The sequence below is a fragment of the Homo sapiens genome, chromosome 3 (genome assembly GCF_000001405.40).
Source record: "Homo sapiens chromosome 3, GRCh38.p14 Primary Assembly".
NCBI lineage: Eukaryota > Metazoa > Chordata > Mammalia > Primates > Hominidae > Homo > Homo sapiens.
Window position 1 is genome coordinate 58,477,730 of NC_000003.12, and position 12,245 is coordinate 58,489,974.

Sequence of the window (12,245 nt, forward strand, 5' to 3'; positions counted from 1 at the left end):
GTATTTTTAGTAGAGATGGGGTTTCTCCATGTTGGTCAGGCTGGTCTTGAACTCCTGACCTCAGGTGATCCACCCGCCTTGGCCTCCCAAAGTGCTGGGATTACAGGCATGAGCCACTGTACCCAGCCAATAAATTATTGTTAACTATAATTTCCCTACTGCACTATCAAATACTAGAATGTATTCCTTCCATCTAACTGTATTTTTGTAACCATTAATCAACCTCTCTTCATCCCCCCTACCTTCCCAGCCTCTGGTAACCACCATTCTACTCTCCACCTCCATGAGATCCACGTTTTTAGCTCCCACATATGAATAAGAATATGTGGTATTTGTCTTTCTGTGCCTGGCTTATATGAACATAATGACCTCCTCCAGTTCCATCCATGATGCTGCAAATGACAGGATTTCATTCTTCTTTATAGCTGAAGAATATTTCATTGTGTATGTATACCATATTTTCTTTATCCATTCATCCATCGATGGACACACAGGTTGATTCCATATCTTGGCTGTTGTAAATAGTGCTGCAACAAACATAGGAGTGCAGATATCTCTGACATACTGATTTCCTTTCTTTTGGGTATATACACTGCAGTGGGATTGCTAGATCATATGGTAGTTCTATTTTTAGTTTTTTGAGGAACTTCCATACTGTTCTCCACAGTGGCTGTACTAATTTACTTTCCCACCAACAGTATACAACTGTTCCCCCTTTCCCACATCCTTGCCAGCATTTGTTATTTTTTTGTTTTTTTGATAACAGACATTTTAATTGGGGTGAGGTCATATTTTATTGTGATTTTAATTTGCATATCCCTGATGATTAGTGATGTTGAGCATTTTCTCATGTGCCTATTGGCCATTTGTATGTCTTCTTTTGAGAAATGTCTATTCATATATTTTGCCCATTTTTATTGGATTATTTGTTTGTTTGTTTTGCTATTGAGTTGTTTGAGTTCCTTATATATTCTGGTTATTAATCCCTTGTTGGATGGTGAATGGTTTGACTGTGTCCCTACCCAAATGTCAACTTGGATTGTATCTCCAGAATTCTCACATGTTGTGGGAGGGACCCAGGAGGAGGTAATCATTACCTGGGGACAGGAGGTAATGATTACCTCCTCCTGGGTCCCATGCTATTCTTGTGATTGTGGATAAGTCTCACAAGATCTGATGGGTTTATAAGGGGTGTCTGCCTTTGCTTCTTCCTCATTTTCTCTTGCTGCTGCCATGTAAGAAGAACTTTTCACCTCCTGCCATGATTCTGAGGCCTCCCCAGCCATGTGGAAGTGTAAGTCCAACTAAGTCTTTTTTGTTCCCAGTTTCGGGTATGTCTTTATCAGCAGCGTGAAAATGAACTAATACAGACAGTGTTTCAGTCTGTGTAGTGTTCCTATAAAGGAATACCTGAAGCTGGGTTGTTTATAAAGAAAAGAGGTTTCTTTGGCTCACGGTTCTGCAGGCTATACAAGAAGTGTGGCACCAGCATGTTTCTGGTGAGGTCTTCAGGCTGCTTCTACTCATGGCAGAAGGCAAAAGGGAGCTGGCATTGCCAGAGAGAGGAAGTAAGAGAGAAGGGAGGCAGGTGCCAGGCTCTTTCTAAACAATCAGCTCCCACAGGAGCTAATAGAGCGCACACTCCTTACTGTGAGGTCAACACCAAGCCATTCATCAGGGATCTGCCCCTATAACCCATTGGAAGTGGACCTTCCAATTAGGCTCCACCTGCAACACTGGGGTCAATTTCAACATGAGGCTTTTGAGGGTCAAATATCCAAATATTTTGCAAATATTTTCTCCCATTCTGAAGGTTGTCTCTTCACTTTGTTAATTTTTTGCTTTTGTTGCCTGTGCTTTTGAGGTCTTACTCAAAAAATCTTTGTTCAGACCACTGTCCTGTAGTGTTTCCCCAATGTTTCCTTCTAGTAGTTTCAGAGTTGTAGGCCTTACATTTAAGTCTTTAATCCATTTTGAGTTGATTTTTGTGTATGGTGAAAGATGGGGATCTAGTTTTATTTTTCTGCATACGGATGTCCAGTTTTCGCAGCACCATTTATTATAGACAGCCCTTTCCCCAATGTATGTTCTTGGTGCCTTTGTGGAAATCAATTGGCTGTAAATGCATGGATTTATTTCTGGGTTCTTGATTTTGTTCCATTGGTCTATGTGTCTGTTTTTATGCCAGTGGAATGCTGTTTTGGTTACTATAGCTTTGTAGTATAATTTGAAATCAAGTAGTGTGATGCTTCCAACTTTGTTCTTTTTGCTTATAATTGCTTTAGCTATGTGGGGTATTTTGTGGTTCCACATTCTTTTAGGATTCTTTTTTCTTTCTTTCTTTCTTTTTTTTTTTTTTTTTTTGAGATGGAGTTTTGTTCTTGTTGCCCTGGCTGAAGTGCAATGGCACGATCTCAGCTCACCACAACCTCTGCCTCCCAGGTTCAAGCAATTCTCCTGCCTCAGCCTTCTGAGTAGCTGGGATTACAGGCATGTGCCACCACACCTGGCTAATTTTGTATTTTTAGTAGAGACAGGGTTTTTCCATGTTGGTCAGGCTGGTCTTGAACTCCTGAACTCAAGTGATCCTCTCACCTCGGCCTCCCAAAGTGTTGGGATTATAGGCTTGAGCCACTGTGCCCAGCCAGGATTCTTTTTTCTAATTCTGTGAAGAATGTCGTTATTTTGATAGACATTGCATTGAATCTGTAGATCACTTTGGGTAGTATAGACATTTTAATAATATTAATTTTTCCAATCCATGAACATGGGATATCTTTCCATTGTTTGTGTCCTCTTAAATTGCTTTCATCACTGTTTTATAGTTTTCTTTGTACAGATCTTCCTTTTTCTTTTGAGACAGGGTTTCATTCCAGTGCCCAGGCTGGAGTGCAGTGGTGTGATCATGACTCACTGCAACCTCAACCTCCTGGGCACAGGTGATCCTCCTATCTCAGCCTCCCAAGTAGCTGGGACTTCAGGTGCATGCCACCATGCCTAGCTAATTTTTTGTACTTTTTGTAGAGATGGAGTTTCACCATGTTGCTCAGGCTGGTCTCAAACTCCTGAACACAAGCAATATGCCCACCTTGGCCTCCCAAAGTGCTGTGACTATAGGCATGAGCTGCCATGCCTGGCCCTGTTTCTTTGGTTAAATTTACCCCTAGGTATTTTATTTTTTTGTAGCTATTATAAATAAAATTGCTTTCTTGATTTCTTTTTAGATTGATCACTGTTAGCATATAGAAGCATTACTGATTTTTGCATGTTGATTTTGTATTCTGCAACTTTACTAAATTCATTGATCAGTTCTAAGGGTTTTTTTCATGGAGTCTTTAGGCTTTTGTAAATATAAGATCATGTTATTTGCAAACAAGGATTATCTGACTTTTTCCTTTTCAATTTGAATGTCCTTGACGTATTTCTCTACCTTCTAGTACTATGTTGAATAAAAGTGGCGAAAGTGGGCATCCTTGTCTTTTTCCAAATCTTAGTGGAAAGGCTTTTAATTTTTCCCTGTTCAGCTGTAGGCTTGTCATATATGCCCTTTATTGCGTTAAGGTATGTTCCTTCTATACCCAATTTGTTGAGGGTTTTTATCATGAAGGAATATTGACTTTTGTCTGTTTTTTTCAGCATCTATGGAAATGCTAATATGGTTTTTGTCCTTGATTCTGATGATGTATGTATCATGTTTATTGATTTGCATATGCTGAACCATCCTTGCATCCCTGGGGTGAATCCCCTTTGATTATGGTGAATAATCTTTTTAATGTGTTGTTGAATTCTGTTTGCTAGTATTTTGTTGAGGAACTAAAGTTGTTTCATGTGCCACCTTTGGAAAACTCTAATCTGGCAATGTTCATATTTATATGTTTTATGGTTAAAAAGCCAGTTATGGCTGAGGCAGGCAGATCACGAGGTCAGGAGTTCAAGACTAGCCTGGCCAATATGGTGAAACCCCGTCTCTACTAAAAATAGAAAAATTAGCCAGGCATGGTGGCATGCGCCTGTACTCCCAGCTACTCGGGAGGCTGATGCAGAAGAATCGCTTGAACCCCCGAGGTGGAAGTTGCAGTGAGCCGAGATTGTGCCACTGCACTCCAGCCTGGGTGACAGAGCGAAATTCCGTCTCAAAACAAAAACAAAAACCAGTTATAACACAAAAGACTATTATTGTCTCCTGTTGTATGCTTCCACTTATTTAAAAATTTTGGTAAAGGCAAAGCTCTAAACTCTAGGGACAGAAAGCAGATCAATGGTTGTGGGGGGCTGAGGATGGGAATAAGGATTGACCATCAAAAGGGACTGACTTTGAACAAGAGAAGTTTTTGGAGCAAAGGAAGAATTCTAAAACTGAATAGTGGTCAGTCATGTTGGCTCATGCCTGTCATCCCAGCACTTTAGGAGGCTGAGGCAGGTGGATAATCTGAGGTCATGAGTTCGAGACCAGCCTGGCCAACATGGTGAAGCCCTGTCTCTACTAAAAATACAAAAATTAGCCAGGCATGGTGGTGGGTACCTGTAATTCCAGCTACTCAGGAGGCTGAGGCAGGAGAATCCCTTGAACCCAGGAATCAGAGGTTACAGTGAGCCGAGAACATGACATTGCACTCCAGCCTGGGCAACAAGAGCGAAACTCCATCTCAAAAAACAAACAAACAAATAAGTGAATGGTGGTGATGTTTGCACAATTGCATAAATTTAGAAGAAATCATCAAACTATATTTACAATGAACACATTGTATGGCTTGCAAATTATATCTCAAAGAGGAAGAATGAGGAAGAGGAGAAAAGAAAACAAAATAAAGAAAGTAATGGAAAGATTAGCCAAGACAGGATATGAGGGGCTCCTGGAGTACTGGTGCTGTTCTTTGTCTTTATCTGCATGTTGGTTACAAGGGTATGTTTACTTTGTGAAAATTCATTGAGCTGTTTTTGCTCTGTGCATATTTCTATATAGACGTTATAACCCAGTAACAAAATTATACCGAAAAAAAAAATTCAGTCAAAATGGGGATGCTGTTTCTTCCTCGTTATTACTTAAGTATTTAATGATATTTAAAGTTATTACTTTCCTGTTTATTACTGTGTATAATTACATCACTCTGCCACTTTAGTTTTACAATGTTAGGAGTTTAGGTTTTGTGTGTCTTAATTCAGAAAGGATTATAAAAAGATATATTTAATTAATCACACAAGTGCTATAAGAACGTCAATGGAAGTCATTGTTCCTTAATTATTCATAGCAATTATCAAGGTGGACAATATCTCAACTTGCAACCAAAATAAATGGATGTTTTAAGAGGTCTTATTGGAACAATCAAATCATCAGTCTCAAAAAGTCCCCTATCTCTCAGCCCAGTTCTCCTGCTGCCTGCCAGGGTTTCACTTCTATATTTATCTCTTCAAATCAGCAGTACAGCAATTAGTTATTACAATAAGAGCTACCAATTTATTGTGTGCCGACTTCGTGCCAGGCACTGCATTATCAGAATTTTTCATACTTTAATTGTTTCATTTTAGTGTCGTAACAACCCTGCATAGGAGTTGTTTATTCCATTTTACAGTTGAGGAAACTGAGGCTGAGAGGCTTTTGAGTGGGTCCGAGCCCTGGTTGCTGGTAAGTGACAGAGCCAGAGAGCAAGCTGGGGTCCCACCCAGTCATCTTGGGACCTGACGTCAGTAACAGGAAATAAGTGACATGTGTAAGGCAATTCTGAATCCCAAAACATGGCTCTTCATGCAGTTGCTATAGTTACTGCTCGACATGATGCTCTGTCTATCTCTCTTCTTTTTTTTTTTTTTTTTTTTGCTGAGATGACAATGGATCCACTGTTAGCCATTGAGGTGTTGAGCCCTCCAAACCCTGTATCGCCCCAAAACCCTAGGGACATTTTACTAGGGTTAAAATAGTGTTCTTGCCTTGTAATCATACTTTACATTTCAGAAGCTCCTATAACATTCACAGATCCAGTATTATGGCAACTTTACAAATATTATTATTGCATGTTGTATAAAACATAGGAGCTCTATAAAGGTAACTATATGGAGGAAAAAATACCTTTTTCCTTCTGTAGCAAAAGACAGATTAACAAGAGAAAAACTTACACATTTATGTAATATAAGTTTTGTGTGATGTGGAGGACTTCATAAGGAACTAAATAAGGGCTTATGACTAGTGTCAGGGGAAAGTCAAAGAGTCCTTCCTGCATCTCAAATTCTTTCAGCTTAAAAATATCCAGTATACCAGGTTGCCATATTTTGGGGGAGCATGTCCTGATCCCTGTCATAACCATATTTCAGACAGTCATGCAGAACTCCTTGACAAGGCAATATATTTGAGGTGGGGCGGGGACAGTGGGTCGGTGCCCCCTCATTGGGTTGAAGTTGAGGGTTGGCATCCAGGTAGGAAAAAGTGGGGAAAGAGAGGCCCTAGGACCCAGAGAGACCCAGCCTGGGAGGGACTGGACAGAAAAGGAGAAGCAAGGCTTTGCAAGTGATTACACTCTTGCTAAACAACTAAACACATGCAGAGGAAATGGCTTGGATTAGGAACAGAGAGGGAGGACAAACCAAGGCCTGAAATGTGTTACAGACAAGTGTTTGGGGGCACGGAGTTGAAAGGGTGAGACTTCAGAATCTGGAGTTGTTTTACGAGCCTTTTTCACACCAGCTGGTGATGCTATGGCTAGGCGGTTTTATTCCCACTTGACATAAAAGGGGTCTCAAAGCCAGTTAACTTTTCAGAGGTGGCACGCTGAGACACTCCTGGGGCTGAAGACAGGAGCCAGAGCTTCTGATTCCTGGGCTAATTTAAGATCCGTTGTCTATAATTACAGAGTCATAATGGTGAAGAGGATGGTGACATCCAAGGACAACCACAGGGCCTCTCTCCTGACACTGGTGAGAACCAGATTCCTTTCCCTGGTTCTGTAGCTCCCAGCAGAGTTTTGGAAGCTGATTAAAGAGAATGTTGGAAATAACAGGCAATTAGAAACCTTATTAAAAAAAGGAAAAACACTCTCATCAAACTTGCCAAAGCGTCTTAATGGCTGGATGTGGAGGAGGCATTGGAAACTGCTGGCTGCAAGGGTCACTTGTGCCAGAGGGTGGCCTGGAAGCTGAGGAAAGTGTGGAGAGGGACTGGGGCCAGTTCCCAGGGACAGAGAGTGCAAGGGGACTGTTTAGGAAGTTATTTCCGAGTTGATGCGCCCAGTGAGTATAAAGTGAAAGAAGGCCATTTACAAGTCCTAAGAAAACCACAGCTGGTGAAACTGGTGGCAAAAGGACCAAAGGAAAAGAAAGGGACACACACACCCATACACACACCTATACACAGAAGAGACAGAGCCCACCACCAAGAGAGGCAGAGTGGAGTGCATTTCCCCACTGGCCAGTTCCTCGACTGCTCAGAATATGCCACAACGGGTAGTTGGAAGGAGATCAGCAGAGATGAGGGTTCAGATAATCGATGCAACTCACTGCTTTAGGGTTCCTCACCTCCTGCAGTCCCTAGGGACCACCCCCAGCATGGCAGAGCTTGTGGGAGGTAATTTGAATGGCCATGTGTGGGCTGAGTGCGGGTTTGGCCCTCAGGTGACCTGCTTGGACTCTGATAGCAGTTGAGCAGCCCCCCGCTTCAGGGGTGCCTCCCTGCCCAGTGCACCCTCACAGCTGTCCTCCATCCAGGGCTGAAGCATGAACTCCCACCTTGCTCCCTCACAGGGCCTCCCATTTTATTTTAATTAATGAATTGGTTAATTATTTTATTTTTTGAGATGGGGTCTTGCTCTGTTTCCCAGGCTGGAATGCACTGGCGCAATCGCAGCTCACTGCAGCATCAACCACCTCAAGCAATTCTCCCACCTCGTCCTCCTAAGTAGCTGGGACTATAGACGCACATCACCATGCCCTGCTAATTTTTGTATTTTTTTGTAGGGATGGCGGTGGGGGCGGGGGCGGTCTCATTATGTTGCTCAGGCTGGTCTCGAACTCATGGGCTTAAGTGATCCATCCTTCTGCTTTGGCCTCCCAAAGTACTGGGATTACAGGTGTGAGCCACTGCGCCTGCCTAGGGCCTCCCATTTTAAAGCTCAAGAGGTTGTTCTGGAAAACCTTCTAAAGGGACCCAGACTGGTTTCTTTTTGCATTCCTGCTCCAGAATAATCTGAAAGCTCCCTGAGGCTGGAACTGGGGGAAGAGGGGCTCTACTTGACAAAGGCAAGGCAAGGCATGGAAGGAGGTGGGAAGGGGAACTCCACATTGCACGCAATCAGTCAAGAGCTTCAGCCTGCTCTTGCTCCTTGGGCTGTGTTACATTTCGTAGTTCCTTTTCCTCTCTCGTTTACTTTTTTGTCTTCATTGCTTTTTCATTTCTCTTCTCTCTAAACCTGACTGACCATCTCCTGAGGGCCAAGATTGTCCCAGGTGAAGAGAGATTCTGAATGGAGTCTGAGACAAAGTTCTCTGTGTCAGGAGATCACAGTCCAGTTGGTACGGAATATTTCAAAACAGAGGGAGTGTTTATGTGCTCAGCAGGAGCCAGCAGGGGGCTGGTTTGGGACCTCGGCTTAGGGGGCGAGCAGACCTAAAGTAGAGGTGAAGGCCAGGGAGACCTCTCAAAGGAGAGGGGAGTGGTGCTGGTTCCTGATAGGGTGGCCAGGTAAAATACTGGATGCTTGTATCTACTGCAATATTTGGGACATACTTATATGAAAAAAATATTCGTTGTTTATCTGAAATTCAAATTTAACAGAGCATCCTGTATTTTCATTTGCTAAATCTGGCAAACCAAGTTGCTGATGAATAAACTGGAGTTAGCTGCATGAATTGGGGGAAGAAAGGGAAGGGCATGCCTGAGAGGGAACAGCATGAGTGAACATCTGGAGGTCAGAGATCCCGTAATTCATCTAAGGAAACGAACATTGTCCACATGCTGGAGTATGGAGTGCAAGAGGGCGGGAGGCAGTGCAGAGTATGCACCAAACCATCACATAGCTGTTGAGTACATGCTAAGTGCCGGGTACCAGGTGAAGTTCTAGGGTGCAGTTATGAGCTAATGGGACACAGCCTCTGCCCTCAGGAAGCTCACAGTCCAGCTGAGAAGCAGCAAGGTGGAGAGAGGGAAGGACAGGCACTGTGGAAGTTATAGCTGGGGGAACTCAGCCTCCCTGGGAGGTCAGGGAAGACCTCCCTGAGGAGGTGACAATATGCTGAAGGATGAGGAGACAGGTATGCTAAGGGGTGGGGAAAGAGAGATCTAGGTCAAGGGAACCGCATAACGGAAGGCCCTGAAGTGAGAAAATGAGCAGTGGGTCCCAGGACCTAAAATGTGGCCAGAGAGGCTGGGCCCAGAGAGAGAGGAGAGGGGAGGAGGAAGGACCAGTGGGCAGGGATCAGACCACACTGCAGGGAGTTTCAACTGGACCCTGAAGGCAATGGGTGCCACTGAAGGAGTATAAAGCAGGCAGGGTGACACACAGCTTCGTGCTCTTAGAGCTGACTCATGCTGGAGAGAGGACGACGGATGGGCAGTGTAGGGTCAGGGCGGAGGGAACGGGGAACACCAGGAGGGGGCTACTGCAGAGGTCCGAGATGGACACATTGCTGGCTTGGTGGTGGAGATGAAGAGGGAGAAGGAGAAATGGATCCAGGCTGCACTGAGGGGGAAGACTTGGCAGGGCTGGGTTCTCTGGCACTGGGAAGTGAGGGGGAGGGAGGAGCAGGCATGACTCAAAGCTTCTGGTCTGGGCAGATGGGAGGACGGAGGCGCCATTTGCCGAGCTGAGCTGGGGACTTGGGAGGTTTGGGGGTGGTGAGGAGAGTTCAGATTTGCACATGCTGAGGGTGAGGAGGCTGGCGGTAGACCCTGGTTCGATGGGCTGTGAGGAGGAGGAAACTGCAGGGAGCCGGCAGAACCATGTTCCAGTCTCTCCTGCCACACTTAGTCACGTGGCCTGGATCAATAACTTCACCTCTCTGTGCCTTTGCCTTCTCACGTATCCCGTGGGAGGTGGGGGTATTCTGCCCTCAGAGCTGTCGTGAGGGTGTGGTGGCAGCCTCCTGGTTCACGCCTTGTTGTGCCCTCCCACACTGTAGTAGGGTTGATCTGTGGGACCATAATCATATGTGTGTCGCTTTTGAGGCTGGGTTATAAAAGACATTGTGGCTTCTATCTTGCTCTCTCTTGGGTCACTTGCTCTGGGGGACGTCAGCTACCATGTTGTCAGGAGAGACTCTCATGACAAGGAATGAATGCCTTATGCTGAACGCCACATGAGTGAGTTTGGAAGGGAAGTCTCCAGGCTTCAGATGAGTGCAGCTCCTGCCGCCAATTAGACTGCAAGCTCCTGCGGGACCCTGAGCTGCTTCCAAGTTCCTGAGCCACAGAAACAGAGGGGAAAGCACTTGGAAGCCGTTTTAAGTCCCTACCTTTTGGGATTATTTGTTATGTGGCAAAAGGTAACTGATACAGTGGGTAAAAGCACCTAGCACAGTACCTTGTACAGAATTGGGGCTATAGAACAGACAAGATCTATAGCTCTGGATTCAGGATAGAGGGCTGGGCTGGAGACAGGGATTTGGAAGCCTTTGGCTCAGACACAGTAAAGGAATCCATGGAGGTGGCTGAACCATTCCATGGAGAGGGGTACATGGAGAGGAGGGGATTGTGTTGAACAGGAACTTGAGCTTAAGTGTCGGGGTAAAGCAAGAGGAGCATCTTTGTAAGTCTAAGAGGAGGAGCTATGGAAGAAGGAGGAGAACATGCATCCTAGAAGCCAAGGGAAGGGGCTGTCCCCTGGCAGACGTCACTGCAGAAGCCTTGCTGCGGAGAGGCCTGAGCCATGCAGGTCGGAGGAGGTTCTTTCAGATTTAGTATCAAGGAGGATTCTGGTGAGCCATTTAGATGGAGAGGTGGGCCCTGAGGCCAGATTGAATGTTACGGGTTGGGGTCTTAGGGGAAGTGGGGGGACACAGCAAAGGAAGAGAGGGAGGGGGACACTGTGTCGAAGGAGAAGTCTGAAAATTCTTGAGTCAGGGACAGAGACCTGAGGCTGTTTATCTGCTGATGGGCGTGGGAGATGGGGACTGGAGAGAGGGAGGGATGGAAGATCTGAGCCTGGAGAGGCTAAAGGGTGGGAGAAGGAATGGACTAGAGCCCAGGGAGGGGATCACCTGGACAGGAGGTGGAATCCCCCAGCCATCTCATGAGGGGAGGACAGTGCAATGCAGGTCATTCCAAAAGAGGGCAGAGGAGGGTTCTAGGGGGCTCCCACTGAAGGGGAAAGGTTTTCCTGACAAGTAGGAGGTGAGGTCGGCTAGGCAGTGAGAGTTGGGAGAAGGGAGAGAGGGAGGGGACTCAGATCTCCACACTTCATTGTCTTGTCAACTGCTGGTGCCCCTTTGCCCTCCCAGCACCGTGCTGGGCTTGGTTCCTTCCTGTAACAGGTGTAGCTGCAATAATAAACAGCCCCCTCCAGGTCAGCCTGGCCCCAGGGCAGACCAGGATCAGTATCTTTACCACAGGAGCCTGGATACTTGGTGGCCACCTGGAAAAGAAAGGTGCAGAGGGTCAGGGGCAGCTGTAAACCAGAAGCCAGCCTTCCCCAGCAGGCTTGCAACCCTGAGCTCTGTGGAGGCAAACAGCTTCCAATATAAACCCTTTCCACCCCCAACCCCCCAAACCAACAGATCCAGATGGTTTGCGGGAGAATCCTATAGAACATTCAAACTACAGAAAATCCCAGTCTAGTGAATAGACACTCATTCCTTAAGGTATGTTATGAGGCTCATGTAACTTTGATAGCAAAGCCAGACGAGGAGAGAATAAGCAAATAGTAGCATATCTCAGTCATCCACGTGGATACAAAAACCCTAAATGAAATATTAGCAAATGGAACCCTAAATGAAATATCAGCAAATGGAATCTAGCGGTATACTGAAAAAATAATACATCATGACGTGTGAAATTCCTTGAATAAAAATGCATTGACTTAAAAAAATACATTATCAAGGCGAGTTTATCCCGGGAATACATGGATGGTTTAATATAGTAAGATCCATGGTTGTAATTCATTACATTGCAATGGGGGGAATCTCACATTGATAAAATTCAGCACCCATTCATAGTAAAGAAGAATAGTGCTTCCTTACCCTGATAAAGAATATCTATCAAAAAATCCACAACAAACACTATAGTTAATGGTGATATGTTACAAGCAGTCAAGAACAGGATAAAAATG

At 44.9% G+C, this 12,245-nt stretch overlaps 1 long non-coding RNA gene across 2 annotated transcripts in view; it reads left to right on the top strand.

Annotated features, from left to right (window-relative positions):
* Positions 1 to 7,029, top strand: part of LOC107986092 (uncharacterized) — a 51,164-nt gene extending 44,135 nt beyond the window's left edge. For both annotated transcript variants that reach the window (XR_007095933.1, XR_001740719.3), the window contains exon 4: positions 6,843 to 7,029. This is a non-coding gene — a long non-coding RNA (uncharacterized LOC107986092). The remainder of the gene's footprint in view (positions 1 to 6,842) is intronic.
* Positions 7,030 to 12,245: the final 5,216 nt, after the last annotated feature.